The 20527-nt window shown below is 53.0% G+C and overlaps 1 protein-coding gene and 1 long non-coding RNA gene across 9 annotated transcripts in view, besides 7 other annotated features; one reads left to right on the top strand and one right to left on the bottom strand.

Annotated features, from left to right (window-relative positions):
- PGLS-DT (PGLS divergent transcript) overlaps nt 1–20527 on the top strand; it is a 22900-nt gene extending 2373 nt beyond the window's left edge. The window contains exons 2-3 of the long non-coding RNA NR_147835.1: nt 18320–18441; nt 20422–20527. This is a non-coding gene — a long non-coding RNA (PGLS divergent transcript). The remainder of the gene's footprint in view (nt 1–18319; nt 18442–20421) is intronic.
- Nucleotides 828–2027: an enhancer, noted in NCBI's record as "BRD4-independent group 4 enhancer chr19:17618299-17619498 (GRCh37/hg19 assembly coordinates)". NCBI's record gives its function as "activates an origin of replication core promoter dependent on BRD2, P300/CBP, MED14 and CDK7 cofactors, and independent of BRD4, by STARR-seq in HCT116 cells {active_cell/tissue: HCT116}" and the evidence as "EXISTENCE:reporter gene assay evidence [ECO:0000049][PMID:35650434]".
- SLC27A1 (solute carrier family 27 member 1) overlaps nt 3349–20527 on the bottom strand; it is a 37402-nt gene continuing 20223 nt past the window's right edge. For 4 of the 8 annotated variants that reach the window (XM_011528003.3, XM_047438789.1, XM_047438790.1 and 1 more), the window contains 7 exons: nt 20400–20509; nt 12053–12262; nt 9113–9239; nt 8885–9022; nt 8641–8805; nt 8098–8244; nt 3349–5062 (listed from right to left, as the gene is read on the bottom strand). In XM_011528003.3, the coding sequence (XP_011526305.1) occupies nt 4905–5062; nt 8098–8244; nt 8641–8805; nt 8885–9022; nt 9113–9239; nt 12053–12262; nt 20400–20509 (1055 nt within the window). In that variant the 3' untranslated portion in view covers nt 3349–4904. Of the gene's footprint in view, nt 5063–8097; nt 8245–8640; nt 8806–8884; nt 9023–9112; nt 9240–12052; nt 12263–18088; nt 18125–20399; nt 20510–20527 lie in introns of those variants that run through there. The other 4 variants (XM_011528000.2, XM_011528002.3, XM_047438791.1 and 1 more) reach the window with 3 other exon arrangements.
- Nucleotides 8289–9157: an enhancer, noted in NCBI's record as "H3K27ac-H3K4me1 hESC enhancer chr19:17611169-17612037 (GRCh37/hg19 assembly coordinates)". NCBI's record gives its function as "activates a minimal SCP1, AML or CMV promoter by ChIP-STARR-seq in naive H9 embryonic stem cells {active_cell/tissue: H9 hESC(naive)}" and the evidence as "EXISTENCE:reporter gene assay evidence [ECO:0000049][PMID:30033119]".
- Nucleotides 9158–10026: an enhancer, noted in NCBI's record as "H3K27ac-H3K4me1 hESC enhancer chr19:17610300-17611168 (GRCh37/hg19 assembly coordinates)". NCBI's record gives its function as "activates a minimal SCP1, AML or CMV promoter by ChIP-STARR-seq in primed H9 embryonic stem cells {active_cell/tissue: H9 hESC(primed)}" and the evidence as "EXISTENCE:reporter gene assay evidence [ECO:0000049][PMID:30033119]".
- Nucleotides 10379–10923: an enhancer, noted in NCBI's record as "H3K27ac-H3K4me1 hESC enhancer chr19:17609403-17609947 (GRCh37/hg19 assembly coordinates)". NCBI's record gives its function as "activates a minimal SCP1, AML or CMV promoter by ChIP-STARR-seq in naive H9 embryonic stem cells {active_cell/tissue: H9 hESC(naive)}" and the evidence as "EXISTENCE:reporter gene assay evidence [ECO:0000049][PMID:30033119]".
- Nucleotides 20175–20394: a silencer, noted in NCBI's record as "silent region_10348". NCBI's record gives its function as "represses an Ori minimal core promoter by ATAC-STARR-seq in GM12878 lymphoblastoid cells {active_cell/tissue: GM12878}" and the evidence as "EXISTENCE:reporter gene assay evidence [ECO:0000049][PMID:35858748]".
- Nucleotides 20204–20367: a silencer, noted in NCBI's record as "fragment chr19:17599959-17600122 (GRCh37/hg19 assembly coordinates)". NCBI's record gives its function as "represses an EF-1alpha promoter that drives an FKBP-Casp9 reporter gene in an ReSE screen in K562 erythroleukemia cells {active_cell/tissue: K562}" and the evidence as "EXISTENCE:reporter gene assay evidence [ECO:0000049][PMID:32094911]".
- Nucleotides 20475–20524: an enhancer, noted in NCBI's record as "active region_14275". NCBI's record gives its function as "activates an Ori minimal core promoter by ATAC-STARR-seq in GM12878 lymphoblastoid cells {active_cell/tissue: GM12878}" and the evidence as "EXISTENCE:reporter gene assay evidence [ECO:0000049][PMID:35858748]".

The raw sequence follows: 20527 nt of genomic DNA, 5'->3' as shown, positions 1-20527 counted from the left end.
CCGGCCTCTCAAATGAAGTAGAAACCCCATCTCTACTAAAAATACAAAAATTAGCCAGGCGTAGTAGCTCATGCCTGTAATCCCAGCTATTCGGGAGTCTGAGGCAGGAGAATGGCTTGAACCCGGGAGGCAGAGGTTGCAGTGAGCCAAGATCGCGCCACCGCACTCCAGCCTGGGCGACAGAGCAAGACTCCCTCTTAAATAAATAAATAGGCCGGGCGCGGTGCCTCACGCCTGTAATCCCAGCACTTTGAGAGGCCGAGGCGGGTGGATCACGAGGTCAGGAGATCACGACCATCCTGGCTAACACGATGAAACCCTGTCTCTAGTAAAAATACAAATTAGCCAGGTGTGGTTGCAGGCGCCTGTGGTCCCAGCTACTTGGGACGCTGAGGCAGGAGAATGGTGTGAACCTGGGAGAAGGAGCTTGCAGTGAGCCGTGATCTCGCCACTGCACTCCAGCCTGGGCAACAGAGCTAGACTCTGTCTCAAAACAATAAATAAATAAATAAATAAATAAATAAATAAATAAAACCCAAAAAGTCTGTTAATTAATAAGAAAAACTAACAGAGTTCAAGCCTAAGAGTCATTGGGATTATTTTCTGGCCAACTTGGAGGGAACTTCCTAGACACTATTGCAGCTAGAGGCTTTGGAACAAGAAAGTTCACTGGGCCACTGTCTCACCTGGAGCCCCTGGCAATGAGTCCATTCCCCTTCTTGTGCCTCAGTTTCTGCATCTGTACAATGGGGACCATGGTGACACTTCCTGAAGTGGTTGCGAGGTTGGAGAGAGATTAGTCAGAATTCACTTGCCCAGCTGGGTGCCATGGCTCACGCCTGTAATTCCAGCACTTTGAGAGGCCAAGGTGGGTGGATCACCTGAGGTCGGGAGTTTGAGACCAGCCTGGCCAACATGGTGAAACCCTGTCTCTACTAAAAATACAAAAATGAGCTGTGTGTGGTGGCACGTGCCTGCAATCCCAGCTACTGAGGAGGCTGAGGCAGGAGAATTGCTTGAACCCAGGAGGCGGAGGCTGCAGTGAGTCAGATTGTGCCACTGCACTCCAGCCTGGGCGACAGAGCAAGACTCCGTCTCAAAAAAACCAAAAAGCAAAAAACAAAACAAAAAAATTCACTTGCTCATCTGCACACGAGGGTCACCCCCTCAGTGTCCTCTCCCAGCAAATGCTCTGTCACCTCCTGTCCCCTGAGGTAGAGACAACAAACAAGATGCCAACATTATGACACGCGAGGGGGACAGCAGAGGTGAGAGTCAGTTGAGAGTACAGTAGTCCCTGCTTATTCAAAGTTTCTCTTTCTGAGGTTTCCACAGTTCAAACATATTAAATGGAGAATTCCAGAAATAAGCAATTCATAAGTTTCAAATTGCGTGCTGTTCTGAGGAGCATGATGAAATCTCGGACTGCCTTGCTCCATCCCTCTCTGTCCCGCCCAGGGTCATGAATCACCCCTTTGTCCAGCAGATCCATGCTGGAGACACCACTCCCCCCATGCCCACTCATTTGTCACTTAGTAGCCTCCTGGTTATGAGATTGAAAAACCAGTATAAACTGGGCACGGTGACTCACACCTGTAATCCCAGCACTTTGGGAGGCCAAGGCAGGAGGATGGCTTCAGCCCAGGAGTTCAAGACCAGCCTGGGCAATACAGTGGGACCTCATCTCTGCAAACAAATCAAAAAATTAGCTGGGCGTGATGGTGCATATCTGTAGTCTCAGCCACGCAGGAGGCTGATGGAGGATTGCTTGTGTGTGGGAGGTCAAGGCTGCAGTGAGCTATGATCATGCCACTGTACTCTGGCCTGGGCAACAGAATAAGACTTTGTCTTAAAAATAAATAAATTAGGCCACGTGCGGTGGCTCACGCCTGTAATCCCAGCACTTTGGGAGGCCGAGGAGGGCGGATCATGAGGTCAGGAGATTGAGACCATCCTGGCTAACACGGTGAAACCCCATCTCTACTAAAAATACAAAAAAATTAGCCGGGCGTGGTGGCAGGCACCTGTAGTCCCAGCTACTCGGGAGGCTGAGGCAGGAAAATGGCGTGAACCTGGGAGGCAGAGCTTGCAGTGAGCCGAGATCGTGCCACTGCACTCCAGCCTGGGAGACAGCAGGACTCCATCTCAAAAATAAATAAATAATTAAATTAAATTAAAATTAGAAAGGGAGGAAAGGATGAAGGAAAGGAAGGGAGGGAGGGAGGGAGGAAGGGAAAGAAAAAGAAGGAAAGGAAAGAAAGGAAGAAAGAAAAGAAACAAAACATATTTAGGGCTCAGTATTATGGTCAGTTTCAGGCATCCATTTGGGGTCTTGGAACATATCCCCCAGCGATTGGGAGGAATACTGTATAGACTCCTGAGCTTGGAGTCCTGGGTTCGAATCCCAGCTCAGACGGCCACCCCAGCAGGCCTAGCGACTTTCACCCAGAGCTCTCACACCAGCCGGCCTGTACATGGAAGAGGACACTGCCAGGGCAGCCACAGGTGCCAGGACATACCGTGATCTGAGCCATCCTGCAACACCTGCAGGAACCCACAGGCAGGCTGGCCATCCCTCCCCTGCAACCACAAGGTCAACGAGGGCCTGTGAGGCCCAGACACTGCAGGGAGGTGCCTCCCCCTCGGCAGGCCAGCGAGAGGGCCAACCCGAGTGCCCCTGCCCCAAGGTCCCTTTGGTCTTGCAGATGGGGCCACATGGTACAGGGTCCCTTCTTTTTCTTTTCTTTTTTTTTTTTTTTTGAGACAAAGTCTCGCTCTGTCACCCAGGATGGAGTGCAGTGGCACCATCTCGGCTCACTGCAACCTCCACCTCCCGGCGCAAGCAATTCTCCTGCCCCAGCCTCTGGGGTAGCTGGGATTACAGGTGCGCGCACCACCATGCCTGGCTACTTTTTGTATTCCCTCCCTCCCTCCCTCTCCTCTCCTCTCTCGCTCTTTCCCTCCCTCCCTCCCCCTTTCTCTCTTTCTTTCTATTTTGAACCAGAGTCTCGCTCTGCCACCCAGGCTGGAGTGCACTGCAACCTCTGCCTCCTAGGTTCCAGCAATTCTCCTGCCTGAGCCTCCCGAGTAGCTGGAATTAAAGGTGTGAGCCACCATGCCCAGCTAATTATTTTGTTTGTATTTTTAGTAGAGACAGGGTTTCACCATGTTGGCCAGGCTGGTCTCGAACTCCTGGGCTCAAGTGATTCACCCACCTCAGCCTCCCAAAGTGCTGGGATTACAGGCATGAGCCACTATGCCCGGCTGGCCGAGTCCTGCCTTCTGAAACTCAGCAAGGGTTCTGTGCCACATAGGGACACTCAATGAATGGGCTCCCAGCAGGCACCAGACGGTCTTCAGGTTTATTTCTTAAATCAATTAGGAAATAAAACCACAGTGCCCAGGAAAGTTCACATGAGACGCCACGGTGTCTCTTGCCATGGCCCCACCACTCCAGGGGCCAGGGGGTGCTGCTGGAGGGAGGACAGACGGACAGGCGGCCTGGGTGGCCGGCCCCAGAAAGGCTGGCGTGGATGTTCGAGATGAGCCACCAGCGAAGCCAGTAGGGATGTCTGGGCCGTCCTGGTGGGATTGTCTGGGACATCGCCACCAACACGGTGTCAGAGCCATCAGTGGGGACATCGGAGGGGCCACCACCAGGTGGGGTATATTCAACAGGCTAGAACCCCTGAGGCTTGAGAGGCCAACCCCCGGCAGGAGACCTCCCCTGACCCCTCTGCTGCCTCTCCTGTGGGACCCTCCAGTAGACACACCAGATGAGGACACCCAGGAGGCCTCCTCCCAGGACAGGAGGCAGCTGGCTGGGCAGCCACGCAGTGCAGGGTTCAGGGCCCTCCAGCAGGAGCTCCATGGAGATGGCTAAATGGGGACATCAAGGCAGGGGCTGACAGTGGTGACATCCAAGTGGTCACAGTCAATTCCGGAAGCTTTCAGGGCATCAGGAGGGGAAGGTGGGGCTGGGGAAATGTGACAGGAACGGGGAAGTGCAAAAGGCAATTGGCCTAGCCTGGGAGATTTTCCAGTTGGCCTGGGGGACCCCCGGCTCCTCCATTCAGCAGGGAGGGCGGAGGGCCTGCTTGGAAGTCACATGGAGCTGCAGCATCTGGAACCCAACAGCCACAGGAGGCCTGGATCGGGGCTCCGTAAGGCACAGCCGAGAGGGAGGTGGGGAGGCCCCAGTCCGAGTCCAGGGCCCAGGGGAGATGATTCCTGCAGTCCCCAAAAGCAGCTGGACCCTACACAAGATGCAGCTCCCAGGACACGCGTGTTCCACTCTCGGCAGGAGAGGAGAGGAAAAAGGAAAGGCCGGGCCAGAGGCTCACGCCTATAATCCCAGCACTCTGGGAGGCCGAGGCCAGCGGATCACCTGAGGTCAGGAGTTCAAGACCAACCTGACCAACATGGTGAAACCCCGTCTCTACTAAAAATATAAAAATTAGCTGGACGTGGTGGCGGGTGCCTGTAATCCCAGCTACTCAGGAGGCTGAGGTGGGAGGATCACTTGAACCCCAGGAGGCAGAGGTTGCAGTGAGCCGAGATCCCACCACTGCACTCTAGCCCGGGCAGCAGAGTGAGACTCTATCTTAAAAAAAAAAGAAAGAAAGAAAGAAAAGAAAAAGAGGGAAGAGTTAAGGCCAGACAGGGACAGGGATGGAAGGAGACAGAGGCTGAAAAGCAGGGAGAGGAGGCAGACACAGGGGCACCAAGGCAGCAGAGAGGCACGGGTTCCTCTGAGGTTCCAGTTTCTCAGTCCAGGATGGGCCGTGCCAGGTACAGCTCGGCCAGGTGGGTGTGTACTAGGCGGCCACCCCTGGGCAGCGCTGTCTGGCTCAAGCTGGCCTCTCCCACCAGGCCCAGAGTTTGTGGCCAGTAGAGGAACAGCTTCAGAGGGCGAAGGCGCCCGAGCAGATGCGAGTGTAGACTGCCTCATTTAAGGGCAGGTAGTGGCCCTGCTTCAGGTCCAGGAAGAAGAGCCGGTCTGAGGTCTGGCGTGGGTCAAAGCCCTCTCGCTGCAGCCTCGTCTTCTGGATCTTGAAGGTGCCTATAGTGGGGATGGGGGGCAGATAAGGGCTGAGCAGGTGGCTTCTGGGAGGCCTCAACTCAATATCCTCTCCTGCACCTCTGGACCTTCCCACAGGCTGTCCCCTGGGCAGGAATGTTCTTCCCCATTTTGCCTGCCTGATTCCCCCTTGTCTGTCAGATCCTGGCTTCATGCCCCCTCCTCCAGTGAGGCCTCCCTAACCACTCCTCACCAGGGCAAGAAAATGTACACCCTGCCTGGTCATGTGTCCATTCCCCACATGACAGGCAGGGCTGTGTCTGTTACACAGTGAATAAGAGTTTAGCAACTTACATCCTGTGGGCCAAATTTGGCCCTCCACCTGTTTTTGTAAATAAAGTTTTACTGGGGCCGGGCACAATAATGGCTCATGCCTATAATCTCAGTACTTTGGGACGCCAAGGCAGGAGGGTCGCTTGAGCCCAGGAGTTTAAGACCAGCCTGGGCAACATAGTGAGACTCTGTCTCTGCAAAAACCCTTTTTTTTTTTTTTTTTTTTTTTTTTGAGACATAGTCTTGCTTTGTCACCCAGGCTGGAGTGCAGTGGTGTGATCTCGGCTCACTGCAACCTCCACCTCCTGGATTCAAGTGATTCTCCTGCCTCAGCCTCCCAAGTAGCTGGGATTATAGGCGTGCACCACCACACGTGGCTAATTTTTAAAATTTTGGTAGAGACAGGGTTTCACTATGTTGGCCAGGCTGGTCTCGAACTCCTGACCTCAAGTGATCTGCCCGCCTCGGCCTCTCAAAATGCTGGGATTACAGGCGTGAGCCACCGCACCCGGCCAACAATTTTTTTTTTTTTTTAAATTAGCTGGGTGTCATGGCACGTGCGTGTAGTTCCGGCTACTTGGGAGGCTGAGGTGGGAGAATCACTTGAGCCCAGGAGGAGAAGACTGCAGTAAACTATGATTGCATTATTGCATTCCAGCCTGGACAACAGCAAGATCTTGTCTCAAAAAATAAATAAAAATTTAGAAATAAAGTTTTATTGGCACACAGCCATGCTCATTCATTTGCACATTGTCTATGGCTGCTTTTGCACAAGAATAGCAGTGTTGAATAGCAATCGAGGCTGTATGGCCTGCAAAGCCGAAAATATTAACTATCTGGTCCTTTAAGAAAAAGTTTGCCTGAGCCCAGGACTGCGAGACCAGCCTGGGCAACACAGTGAGACCCTGATATATTTTGGCTGTGTCCCCACCCAAATCTCATCTTGAATTGTAGCTCCCATACTTCCCACGTGTTGTGGGAGGGACCCGGTGGGAGGTAGTTGAATCATGGGGGTGGGTCTTTCCCGTGCTGTTCTCATGATAGTGAAGGGGTCTCACGAGATTTGATGGCTTTATTTGGTGGTTTTTAAAGGGGAGTTCCCTTGCACACACTCTCTTGCCCTCCACCATTAAAAAGTCCCTTTGCTTTTCCTTCGTCTTCTGCCATGATGGTGAGGCCATCCCAGCCATGTGGAACTGTGAGTTCCATTAAACCTCTTTCCTTTATAAATTACCCAGTCTCGGATATGTCTTTATTAGCAGCATGAGAATGGACTAATACAGACCCCATCTCTACAAAAAATCAAAAAAATTAGTCAGGCATGGTGGTGCCTGCCTGTAGTCCTAGCTACTCCAGAGGCTGAGGTGGGAGGATCATTTGAACCCAGGAGGCTGAGGCTGCAGTGAGCTATGATAGTGCCACTGCATGCCAGCCTGGGCAACAGAGTAAGACCCTGTCTCAAACAAACAAACAAACAAAAAAAACAAAAGAAAAAGAAAAGATACACCGAGGCCGGGTGCAGTGGCTCATGTGTGTAATCCCAACACTTTGGGAGGCCAAGGCAGGTGGATCACTTGAGGTCAGGAGTTCAAGACCAGCCTGGCCAATATGGTAAAACTCGATCTCTACTAAAAATACAAAAAAATTAGCTGGGCATGGTGGTGCACACCTGTAATCCCAGCTATTCAGGAGGCTGAGGCAGGAGAATCGCTTGAACCCAGGAGGTAGAGGTTGCAGTGAGCCAAGATCACGCCACTGCACTCCAGCCTGGGTGACAGAGCAAGACTCCATCTCAAAAAAAAAAAAAAAAAAAAAAAAACAAAAAAAACACTATTTCAGAATGCTTAGTGGCAGTGGAAGTGAGGAATGGAAATAAATAACTACTAAAATAAAACAGCAGAAGGGACCCGTGAGAGCCCACAGTGCTAGCTGGCTGTGAGCCCTTGTGTCAGTCCCAGGACACTGTCCTGAACTAGGATGAGTAAATGGTTTGGATATGGTTTGTTTGTCCGCACCAAAAATCATGTTGAAATTATTATTATTATTTTGAGACATTGTCTCACTCTGTCACCCAGGCTGGAGTGCAGTGGCCTGATCTCGGCTCACTGCAACCTCTGCCTCCCAGGTTCAAGCAATTCTTCTGCCTCAGCCTCCTGAGTAGCTGGGACTACAAGTGCATGCCACCATGCCTGGCTAATTTTTTTTTGTATTTTTAGTAGAGACACAGTTTCACCATGTTGGCCAGGCTGGTCTCGAACTCCTGACCTCAGGTGATCCACCTGCCTCAGCCTCCCAAAGTGCGGAGATTACAGGCGGGAGCCACCACACCCGGCCAGGTATTCTTTTTTTTTTTTTTTTTTTGAGACAGAGTATCACTCTATCGCCCAGGCTGGAGTGCAGTGGCGTGATCTGGGCTCACTGCAAACTCCGCCTCCCAGGTTCATGCCATTCTCCTGCCTCAGCCTCCCAAGTAGCTGGGACTACAGGCACCCGCAACCGTGCCCGGCTAATTTTTTGTATTTTTAGTAGAGACAGGGTTTCACTGTGTTAGCCGGGATGCTCTCGATCTCCTCACCTCGTGATCCGCCCGCCTCGGCCTCCCAAAGTGCTGGGATTACAGGCGTGAGCCACCGTGCCTGGCCCCGGCCAGGTATTCTTTTAGAGCAACACAAAATGGACCAAGACATGAATCAACAGACACACTGATGGATGAAGAGAGAGATTGGAGTGGGGGAGACTCGCACCTGTGGTGTCCACCTGGGGCAGGAGGCGCAGGAAGATGGGCCGGGCATAGGGTGCCAGCACCTTCTGCAGCTCCTGGTATATCGCGTTGGGGTCCAGCAGGCTGTGGGGGTCTGCGACGGCCGCCATCCCTGCCTTACCCTCCACTCCTGGAGGCAGAGGCTCAGCTGAGGACACCCCGCCTCTCATCCTCCCCACCAGCAGGACCAGATACACTGTCAAGCAGTAGCCCCTGGTCTGTAATCTCCAGTCTCTCCCAACCTGGGATGACATTTATGGAAGCAGCCACACATTTTGTGGAGCTCCTGCTTGGCTCATTGAAGCCCTAAGACAGGTGGGCTTTCATGATCCCATTTTCTGGATGACAAAACTGAGGCTCAACATCACCCAGGTGAACTGGCTCCAGATCCAGTGCTTCCTCCTGGGCTGCCATGAGCAGTTGTCCAGGTTGTGCACTGCCCAAAGGCATGTGTACTTCTAAGCCCCTTTTGGCTGAGCTCCCTCAGGACCATGCCTCAGGACCACCCCCTGCAACCCCAGCTTGCCTGGAACAGCCACCCCATAGACGGCCACGTCTGTCTGGCCCAGCAGGCGGCTCAGCACGCCCTCCACCTCGGTGGTGGAGACGTTCTCCCCTCGCCAGCGGAAGGTGTCCCCGCTACGGTCCCGGAAGTACATGTAGCCCAGCTCATCCATCACTAGCACGTCACCTGGCAGAGGGGAGAGGGGCAGATGGGTGGAGGATCCCCATCCGCACAGCCAGTCACCGGGGCCTAGCAGGCTGCGCACCTGAGAGGTAGGCGCTGTCGCCCTTGCTGAAGACGCTGTGGGCGATCTTCTTGCTGGTGGCGCTCTCGCTGACATAGCCATCGAAGCGGCGCAGCGGGTCCTGTTGGTTGATCTGACCCACAAGGAGGCCAGGCTCCCCTAGGGAGAAGGCCATGTTCAGGCTGCGCTAGGCAGGCAGGGCGTGGGGACCCCTGCTCCGGGTGGGGACCATGCGGGGGCCCTGCTCACCGGCCTGGCAGGGGATGCAGAGGCCCTGGGCATCCCGCAGCAGCTCCATTGTGTCCTCATTGACCTTCACCAGCCGGATGGGGTACACGTGGGGCAGGATGCGGCTGTTGAAACCACAGGAGCCGACCTGGAATGGGGTGAACTGAGTTGGAAGGAGCCGGGGATATGCGGGGTCCTTCTCAGTAACACTTTGCCTGCCTTGCCCTGGGGCTTGGACCTAGCACCTCCAGTGTCATTCTAAGCTCTGTGACCTTGGCTGATCTGCAAAAGCAGGGTAGTAAGCGTCGCCTCCAACTCAGGGCCCCTCCTCCCACCTTCCCAGCCTGCATTCAGTCAAGAGAAGACCTCTGGCTGGCACCCACTTCCTGATCCACAAAACCCTCCATGCTGGCAGGAAGTAGATGCCTCTGTGTGGACACTACAGCTACGTCAGACACTGCAGAGCTTCACCTGCTGCCCGCCGCCCTGCTTGGCATGGTTCTATGAACAGAAATGCTTCTCCAACATGTTTGAGCCACTACACCCTGTCTGGTGTGTTTCTTTCTGCTTTTCCCCCTTCCTCCGTTCCTCCCTTCCTTCCTTCCTTCCTTTTTTTATAGAGTCTTACTCTGTCGCCTAGGCTGGAATGCAGTGGCGCAATCTTCGCTCACTGTAACCTCTGCCTCCCACGTTCAAGTGGTTCTTATGCCTCAGCCTCCTGAGTCTGGGATTACAGGCGCATGCCACTGAGCCCAAACAATTTTTTTTTTTTTTGTATTTTTAGTAGAGATGGGGTTTTGCCATGTTGGCCAGACTGGTCTCGAACTCGTGACCTCAAGTGATCCACCCACCTCAGCCTCCCAAAGTGCTGGGATTACAGGCGTGTGTGGGTGGCAAGCTACCCAGGTGCCGAGGCAAGAGACCGAGGGCACGAGCCATTCCAGTATAATAAAATATATAAAACAACAAGAGTTATACTAGATCTAGATCATAGACATGATTATATATGAATATCATTAGTCATCAGTTTGTAGCAATTACTCTTTATTCCAGTATTATAATAATCCTCGCTCTGTAATCATAACCTAGAAAAAACCGGGCCATAGAGAGATAGGAGCTGAGGGGACACAGTGAGTAGTGACCAGAAGACAAGAGTGCGAGCCTTCTGTTATGCCCGGACAGGGCCACCAGAGGGTTCCTTGGTCTAGCGGTGACGCCAGCGTCTGGGAAGTCTAGTCTAGCGGTAGCCTTAGTGTCAAGGAAAAACACCTGCTACTTAGTGGACCGGGAAAGGGAGTCTCCCTTTCCCCCGGGGAGTTTAGAGAAGACTCTACTCCTCCACCTCTTGTGGAGGGCCTGACATCAGTCAGGCTTGCCCACAGTTATCCGGAGGCCTAACCGTCTCCCTGTGATGCTGTGCTTCAGTGGTCATGCTCCTAGTCCGCCTTCATGTTCCATCCTGTACACCTGGCTCTGCCTTCTAGATAACAGTAGCAAAATTAGTGAAAGTACTAAAAGTCTCTGATATGCAGAAATAATGGCATAAGCTGTCTTTCTCTCTCTCTCCCTCTCTCTGCCTCTGCCTCGGCTGCCAGGCAGGGAAGGGCCCCCTGTCCAGTGGACGCATGACCCACGTGACCTTACCTATCATTGGAGATGACTCACACTCTTTACCCTGCCCCTTTTGCTTTGTATCCAGTAAATAACAGTGCAGCCAGACATTCGGGGCCTCTACCGGTCTCCGCCTCTTGGTGGTAGTGGTCCCCCGGGCCCAGCTGTCTTTTCTTTCATCTCTTTGTCTTGTGTCTTTATTTCTACAATCTCTCGTCTCCGCACACAGGGAGAAAAACCCACCGACCCTGTGGGGCTGGACCCTACAGGCGTGAGCCACCGTGCCTGGCCTGGTGTGTTTCCTATGCAAGAATCTGAGCTACAGTGAGCAAAAGTGCCCTGGGGGCTGGCCATCCAACACCAAGCACACTGAGGAAGGAGCATTGTTCTTGGCATTAAGGACCCAGCCCCCATGGCACTTGCTGTTTTTTTTTTTCCTTTTTAGAGACACAGAGTCTCACTCTGTTGCCCAGGCTGGAGTCCAGTGGTGTAATCATAGCTCACTGCAGCCTCGATCTCGTGAGCTCACGTGATCCTCCCGCCTCAGCCTCCTTAGTAGCATTGACTACAGGCACCTGCCACCATGCCTGGCTAATTTTTTATTTTCTGTAGAAAAGGGGGTCTCACTACATTGGCTATGCTGGTCTCAAACTCCTGGGCTCAAGTGATCCTCCTGCCTCAGCCTCCCAAAGTGTTAGGATTACAGGTGTGAGCCACTGTGCCCAGCCGACATTTGCTTTATGATCATTATTACGGTCTGTTCTTGGCCTTGGATGGGAGGGGCTTGGGAAAGGAGAGGGAGATTCATGCAAGCGGAGAATGGAGATGATTAAGAGAGTAAGTAGTTGCTAATTATGAAGGTATCTGTTTGCTGCTACTTGGGAGGCTGAGGCAGGAGGATTGCTTGAGCTCAGGAACTGAAAGCTACAGTGAGCTATGATCACGTGGCTGCACTCCAGCCTGGGCGACAGAGCGAGACTCTGTCTCAAACAACAACAACAAAATAACAGCACGGTACACAGAGCCCTATTCTCCTTGCTAATCTCCACACGCAGAAACTGAGGCTCAGAAAGGCTGAGGCACTTGCCAGGGCGCACAGCCATACCTATCCTCCAACTCTCCTGACCCAAGGACCACAGTCACATGACTATCTGTGCAGGCTGCAGGATTGTCCCTCTGGTGGTGCACCGGGAGTCCCAGGAACTCCCCTTACACCCCGCCCTGCGTGCGCCTTGGCGGAGCCTTCCGCGCCAGTCCAGGCTGTTTTATGTATCCCAGGGGCCCCAGGAAGAGGAGACAGTGGTCTTCCCTGAACTCCGAGACCTGCCCCGGGGCCCTGCCGGTGTGCACCTTGCCGTCCATGTTGGCAATGCTGCAGTTGCACTCGGTGGCGCCGTAGAACTCCCCGATTTGGCGTACGCCGAAGCGCTCCGTGAACTCCTCCCAGATGGCAGGACGCAGCCCGTTCCCCACCGCCAGGCGCACGCGGTGTCGCCTCTCCGCCTCGCGCACCGGCTGCTTCAGCAGGTAGCGGCAGATCTCCCCGATGTACTGAACCACCTGGGGGACGGGGTGAGGAAGTGGGTGATGGGACCGGCAGGCGGTGGGGAGCCCGGATCAGAGGAGAGACCCCGAGACCGCCCCACCCAGGGAGCTAATCCTATGAGCGGAACAGCCTAAGGATGATGATGGCTGCAGAATCGTCCACACTCCATTAGGGACCACATTGACTCCTAGGACTCGTTCAGTCTCTTGCAAAGGGTCTAGGATGCAGCTTTTTTTGTTGTTTTTTGGTTGGGGGTCTCCCTGTGCCGCCCAGGCTGGAGTGCAGTGGCATGATCACAGCTCACTGCAGCCTCTAACTCCTGGGTTCAAGTGATCTTCCAGCCTTAGCCTCCCGAGTAGCTGGGACTACAGATTTTTTTGTAGAGATGGGGGATCTCGCTCTGTTGCCCAGGCTGGTCTTGAACTCCTGGCCTCAAGCAATCCTCCTGCCTCAGCCTCCCAAAGTGTGAGATTCCAGGTGTGAGCCACTTGTGCCTGGCCGGATGCAACTTCTATCCAAGCAGATGCAGTGTCTTTCCTCCTCCCCCTACCCGCACCCCTTCGTGGTCCCTCGATTCTGCCAAGCAGCTTCCTGGAGATACCACATCCCTGTCTGAGCCTCAGCAGGCACACAGGGCAGGACTAGCAGGAGAGCTGGCACCCCGCAGGGCAACCCTCAGCCTGGAGCCTACACTGTCACCCAGAGCCCCCTGGCTGAGCCTGGGCTGGCCGGAGCGTCACCCCTGGGCAGACCACTCCCAGGTGCACCCACTAGGCTGCGCTGCGTCTGGACTGAGCCCCAGGTGCCCACGGAGCCACCTGCTCATGGGCTCCCCCTGCAGGACATCTTCCCTCCCTGCCACACATTCTCAAGCCCCGCAAGAGCTTCCTGGGGTCATCCACCAGGTGCCCCACGGTGCCTTTAAGAGTTCTCATCTCCAGTTGGGCTTCGGAATGACTCCCCCCCCGCCACTTTACAGATGGAGAAACCGAGGCTCACAGATGGTAAGGAACTGGAACGAGATCACAGAGCTGGGAAGTGGCAGAATTTGATTTGAACCCAGGCATCCCGGCCCCAGAGTGGGAATAAAACAGTTGCATGCCAGGGATTACCCACCAGATGGATCATAACAGCTGCAAATGTGCTCGGGGCTTCCCGCTCACACACAGGATGAAACCCACATTTCTTCCTGTGGCCAACTGGATCTGGCCCTGCCGCCCCTGCTGCCTCCTCTCCCTCCATCTCCGCTGAACACTCTGCCTCCTCAGGGACTTTGCACATGCTAGCCTTTTGCCTGAAGCAGTCTTCCCCCAGATGCATTTGCCTGAACTCTTCAGTCTCAGCTCAAACGTCACTGAGAGGCATCCCCTGTGCCCCCAGCTGTGCCCCTGAGAAGGTACTGACTAAATAGCTGATGACTAAACCAATATGATCAGCAGACACCACCGCCATGCTCTGAGCTGAGCTTGGAGATGAAGGCACTGAGGCCCAGAGAGGAAATGCAGTGCACCCAAGATCACTGGCTGCTGACCAACAGCAGGTCCCTAAGGGGGAGGGTCCTCTCCCTCCATTCTCAGACTTGGGCCACTGCCTTAGGTGTGGTACAGCCCACACCATCTCTAGGAGAGAACCTGGCCAATCAGCCCAGCCCCTCCTCAGCCAATATGACTGGCTTAAGAATGGGCACGGCCAGGCGGGGTGGCTCAAGCCTGTAATCCCAGCACTTTGGGAGGCCAAAGCAGGTGGATCACGAGGTCAGGAGATCGAGACCATCCTGGCTAACATGGTGAAACCCCGTCTCTACTAAAAAATACAAAAAATTAGCCGGGCGTGGTGGCACACTCCTGTAATCCCAGCTACTCGGGAGGCTGAGGCAGGAGAATGGCGTAAACCCGGGAGGCGGAGCTTGCAGTGGGCCGAGATCGCGCCACTGCACTCCAGCCTGGGCGACAGAGCGAGACTCCATCTCAAAAAAAAAAAAAAAATGGGCACATGGCTGGGCGCGGTGGCTCATGCCTGTAATCCCAGCACTTTGGGGGGCCGAGGTGGGCAGATCACTTCAGGTCAGAAGTTCGAGACCAGCCTAGCCAATGTAGTAATACCTCATCTCTACAAAAATACAAGAAAATTTTGCCAGACCTGGTGGCATGTGCCTGTAATCCCAGCTACTTGGGAGGCTGAGGCAGGAGAATCTCTTGAACCCGAGAGGCAGAGGTTGCAGTAAGCCAAGATCGCTCTATTGTACTCCAGCCTGGGGACAAGAGTGAGACTCCGCCTCAGAAAAAAAAAAAAGGCAAGGATTTTTACAGACAAGCTAGCAGGGAGGCTGTATCTGATCTAAATAGACCGTGAAAAACCGGTGAGGACCAGATGTGCCATCCGCATAGGGCGCAAATCTCTGGCAGCCCCCAACCCAATCTCTTATTATGCAGGTGAGTAGCTACTCTACGTTGCCTATTTTTTTTTTTTTTGGAAACAAAAAATCCTCGGTAGAACTTCCCTTCTAACAAAAAGCAGCCCAAGAAATCACTTATTTTCTAACAAAGAACAGCCTGGAAGATTGGGCTGCAAACACAAATAAGGAAGCTGGAAGCTTGCAGCAGGGGATGCCAGCAGCTGCACCGATAAAAAGGGCTACCTGTGGCCGGGCACGGTAGCTCACGCCTGTAATCTCAGCACTTTCGGAGGCCAAGGTGGGTGGATCACCTGAGGTCAGGAGTTCGAGACCAGCCTGGCCAACATGGTGAAACCCCATCTCTACTAAAAATACAAAATTAGCCAGGCGTGGTGGCACACACCTGTAATCCCAGCTATTCAGGAGCCTGAGGCAGGAGAATCACCTGAACCCAGGAGGTGGAGGTTGCAGTGAACTGAGATCGCACCACTGCACTCTGGCCTGGGCAACAGAGTGAGACTCCGTCTCAAAAAGAAAAAGAAAAAGAAAAAGGCCAGGCACGGTGGCTCACGCCTGTAATCCCAGCACTTTGGGAGGCCGAGGTGGGCAGATCATGAGGTCAGGAGATCGAGACCATCCTGGCTAACACCGTGAAACCCTGTCTGTACTAAAAAATACAAAAAAAAAATTAGCCAGGTGTGGTGGCGGGCGCCTGTAGTCCCAGCTACTCAGGAGGCTGAGGCAGGAGAATGGTGGGAACCCAGGAGGTGGAGCTTGCAGTGAGCCAAGATTGCGCCACTGCACTCCAGCCTGGGAGACAGAGCGAGACTCCGTCTCAAAAAAAAAAAAAAAAGAAACAGCTACCTGGGGCTGGGCATGTCCACCCTGGGGGCTCCACCATCCCTTTTTTGTTAGCACGTGTACAGTAAGAAAGAAATAAGCAACAAAAGCCGGCTGCTGTGGCTCATGGCTGTAATCCCAGCAGTTTGGGAGGCTGGGGCAGGCAGATCACCTGAGGTCAGAAGTTTGAGACCAGCCTGGCCAACATGGTGAAACCCCGTCTCTACTAAAAATACAAAAAATTAGCTAGGCTTGGTGGTAGACCCCTGTAATCCCAGCTACTCAGGAGGCTGAGGGAGGGGAATCACTTGAACCCAGGAGAAGGAGGTTGCAGTGAGCCGAGATCACACTACTCCATTCCAGCCTGGGAGATGCAGCGAGACTGTGTCTCAAAAAAAAAAAAAAGTAAGGTTCTAGATTATAGCCTGCTGCCCCCATGAGAATGGCTAGACTGCAACTGCTGCTACAGATAAAATAGCAGTGAGCAGTTTCTCATGAGATGTAATTTCTGAACCCAAATAAATGTATGCTCTTGTTTTCTCCTTGTGTCCTTATTAAACATCACCTTTAGAGATTCTGTCCTGTTTTTTTTTTTTTTTTTTTTTTGAGATGGAGTTGTGCTCTCTCACCCAGTCTGGAGTGCAGTGGCGCGATCTCGGCTCACTGCAACCTCCACTTCCCGGGTTCAAACGATTCTCCTGCCTCAGCCTCCCGGGTAGCTGGGACTACAGGTGCCCGCCACCATGCATGGCTAATTGTTTTTGTAGAGATGGGGTTTCACCATGTTGGCCAGGCTGGTCTTGAACTCCTGACCTGAGGTGATCCACCTGCCTCGACTTCCCAAAGTGCTGGGATTACAGGCGTGAGCCGCCGCGCCCGGCCCTGTCCTCTATTTTTCTTTTTTTTTTTTTGAGATGGAGTCTCACTCTGTCGCCCAGGCTGGAGTGCAGTGGCACAGTCTCAGCTCACTGCAACCTCCACCTCCTGGGTTCACAGGATTCTCCTGCCTCAGCCTCCCAAATAGCTGGGACTACAGGTGCCCACCACCGCACCTGGCTAATTTCCCATCCTCTATTTCTTTCTTTTTTTTTTTAAGACGGAGTTTCGCTCTCGTTGCCCAGGCTGGAGTGCAATGGCACAATCTCGGCTCTCACTGCAACTTCCACCTCCCGGGTTCAAGCAATTCTCCTGCCTCAGCCTCCTGAGTAGCTGGGATTACAGGCATGTGCCACCACGCCCTGCTAATTTTTGTATTTTTAGTAGAGATGGGGTTTCTCCATGTTGGTCAGGCTGGTCTCAAACTCCAGACCTCAGGTGATCCACCCGCCTCGGCCTCCCAAAGTGCTGGGATTACAGGCGTAAGACACTGCGCCCGGCCCCGTCCTCTATTTCTTTTTCTTTTTTTTTTTTTTTTTTTGAGATGGAGTCTCACTCTTGTCACCCAGGCTGGAGTGCAGTGGTGCGATCTCGGCTCACTGCAACCTCCACCTCCTGGGTTCACAGGATTCTCCCGCCTCAGCCTCCCAAATAACTGGGACTATAGGCGCCCACCATGCCTAGCTAATTTCCCATCCTCTATTTCTTAAAAAGCCTCTCAATGTTCACTGTGTGCCTTATTTGACACAGAAATTCCACTTCTAGGAAACTGACAGAATGAGCTTCCAAGGCCCAGGAGACAGTAAGTAGTAACCAATGCAAGATGGTGTGTCAAGGACAAAGAGAGACCATCAGACATGACGGGCTTCCCAGTGGGAGGACACCACACCACCCATAAGGAATCTTTGCCAAAAAAGTTGAGTTTGAAGCCGATAAAATATATAGACCAGCGATTCTCAAGCGGGGACCATTCTGTCCCCCAGGGACACTTAGCAACATCTAGACACATTTTTTTAATTGTCACAACTTGGGGGAAGGGGACTGCTACTGGCATCTGGTGCAGGGAGGCCAGGGATGTTGCTAAATATATGCTACAATGCACAGGACACGTCCCACCCCAGGGAATGATCCAGCCCCAAATGTTAAGAGTCAAACCTGTTCTGGACACTATCTCAATTTCTGTAATAAATAAATTCCAAGAGGGAAGAGAGACAGACAGAAAGAGAAAAGGCACCTACAGATGAAATATTTTCTTTTCTTTTCTTTTCTTTTTTTTATTTTTTTGAGATAGGGGCTTGCTCTGTTGCCCAGGCTAGAGTACACTGGCACAATCACGGCTGACAGCAGCCTTGACCTCCTGGGCTCAAGCAATCCTCCCACCTCAGCCTCCCAAGCAGCTGGGACTACAGGCACAAACCACCACAACCAGCTAGATTTTCAATTTTTTTGTAGAGATGAGGGACTCACTATGTTGCCCAGGCTGGTCTACAACTCTTGGGCTCAAGCGATCCTCCCGCCTCGGCTTCCCAAAGTGCTGGGATTACAGGCATGAGCCATTGCGCTCAGCCAAGAATTCTTACAAGACACATCAACCAGTCATAATGCTGGTTGTGTATTTAATTATGGAAATAAGAAAAAACACATTTTTGACATTGTGAGACAGAATTGAGCCACTGCCCAGATTCCTGATGACACTGAGATATCACTGTCACTTAAAAACAATGCTTACCAGACACAAAAGGCGACAGTGTCTGACTCCATTGATCTGAAATGTCCAGAACAGGCAAATCATAGAGGCAGGAAGCAGAATAGTGGTTGCCAGGGGCTGGGGGTGGAGGGATGGGGAGTAACTGGGGATGGGATTTCCTTTGGGGGGCATGAGAATGTTCTGGATCTAGATAGACATGGTGATTGTACATTGTGAATGCCACCAAATTACTGACTTTTTTTTTTTTTAAAGATGGAATCTCACTCTGTCACCCAGACTGGAGTGCAGTGGCCCGATCTCAGCTCACTGCAGCCTCCGCTTCCCAGGTTCAAGCGATTCTCCTGCCTCAGCCTTCCAGGCAGCTGGGATTACAGGTGTGTATCATCATGCCCGGCCAAATTTTTTTTTTTTTTTTTTTTGAGATGGAGTCTCACTCTGTCACGCCCAGGCTGGAGTGCAGTGGTGCAATCTTGGCTCACTGCAACCTCTGCCTCCCGGGTTCAAGCGATTCTTCCGCCTCAGTCTCCCGAGTAGCTGGGATTACAGGCACCAACCACCACGCCAGGCTACATTTCTGTATTTTTAGTAGAGACAGGGTTTCACCCTGTTGGCCAGGCTGGTCTCAAACTCCTGACCTCAAGTGATCTGCCCATCTCAGCCTCCCGAAGTACAGGGATTACAGGCGTGAGCCACTGTGCCTGGCCAAATTTTTCACTTTAATATGGCTAATTTATATGAATTTCACTTTAATTTGAAAAAACAAGTACTCATCTTTCAAAGGTTATAGTGAAACAGCTACACAGGAAACATGATGCCGTCTGAGGGATGCTTTATGCCATCACCGAGGGGAGGATGTGGGGAGGTGGGGAGGGGCAGGACAGGGTATCTGATAGCCTCTGGGTCCAGCTGAGGGGTGCACCAGAACTCTCTATACTTTTCTGTCCACTTTTATGTGTATTTGCTACTCTCTGTAATTTTTTTTAAAAGATAATTTTGGGCTGGGTACAGTGGCTCATGCCTGTAATCCCAGCACTTTGGGAGTCCGAGGTGGGTGGATTGCTTGAACCCAGGAGTTTGAGACCAGCCTGGGCAACATGGCGAAACCTCTTCTCTACAAAAAAAATTCAAAAGTGGGCCAGGCGTGGTGGTGCGCACCTGTAGTCCCAGCTACTTGGGAGGCCAATGCTGGAAGATCACTTGAGCCCAGGAGGTCAAAGCTGCAGTGAGCCATGATAGCGCCACTGCACTCCAGTCTGGGCAACAGAGTGAGATCCTGTCTCAAAAAATAATAATAATAATAAAAATATACTTTTGCATTTCAACATGCAGATTAGTAATTTTCCCAAGACCCTCCAAACAGAACCAAAACTCCTCAAAAGCGAAGCCAAGCACAGCTGTGGACCTTGTGGTATACCCCAAGATGCTCAGCCCAGAGCCCCCAACCCCTGCTCAGCTGTGTGACCTGGCCTGAATCTCTCTGGGCCCCATCTGTCCAATCTGCATCTGCCAACTTGCCACAGTCCCTGGACAACCTCTCACCCAATCCTTCCCAGTCAGCCTTGCTATTCCCTCCGGGCTCCATACCTGTTTCCTGTACCTCCCGCCTGTATTTCCTGTATCCTGCCCCACATTACAGCACTGAAACCCTCAGCCTGGTCTCCTCTCACTGTGGAGGGGAAAGAAGAATTCCTGTTCTTAACCTCTGCCTGCTCTCCTCTCCGGGACAGCAGATGCCTCCACCTCCGCCTCACGCGTTCCTCACCTGGAAGCCCCAGACTCATCGCCCTTCCCATCCCAGGGTCTCAATTCCCTACAGTCAGCAGCAGGGAAGACCCACAGGGCACAAGGCATGGGGAAGGCATTGCCTTAAGGAGCTCAGGCACCCTGGGCCCAATCCTAGCCGCATTACAAGCCTTAGTTTCCCCAGCTGCAAAATGGGTCCACCCTCCAAAGTTATAGGATTGCATTGAGTTTACACGTGGAGGGTTTAGCTCTGGTCTGGACACAGAGCAGGTACTCAGGAAACACTACTTGCCCTCTCTGTCCCCATCCTGAACAGCCATTCCTTAAGCCCCGCTCCCCACCCCACCCCTAGAGACGGGGGAGCAGGTTGCGCCAGCAGGTGGACAGGAGGGCGCACATAAGGGAGTTAAGGGAATAGAGCCTGGTCGGGGGGCGGGGCCTGGCTGGGAGAGGACGGGACCTGACCAGGAGGAGGTGGGGCTTTGCTGGGAGGTACGGGGCCTCACCGGGAGGAGGTGGGGCCTGATTGGGAGGGGGTGAGGCCTGGCTGGGAGGGGCGGGGTCTAGACAGAACAGGGCAGGGCCTGACCGTGCAGTTGTACTTGATGCAGTCGTCCCAGAAGCGGCTGGCCGAGAATTTCTTGCGGAGGACGACTGTCAGCCCATAGATGAGACACTGCCCCACGCCGATGATGTTTCCTGCAGAGGGTGGCCTTG

Source organism: Homo sapiens, chromosome 19 (assembly GCF_000001405.40).
Source record: "Homo sapiens chromosome 19, GRCh38.p14 Primary Assembly".
NCBI classification, from domain to species: domain Eukaryota; kingdom Metazoa; phylum Chordata; class Mammalia; order Primates; family Hominidae; genus Homo; species Homo sapiens.
The sequence above is the reverse complement of the archived record's forward strand: the minus strand, read 5'-3'. Positions and strand labels throughout refer to the sequence as shown.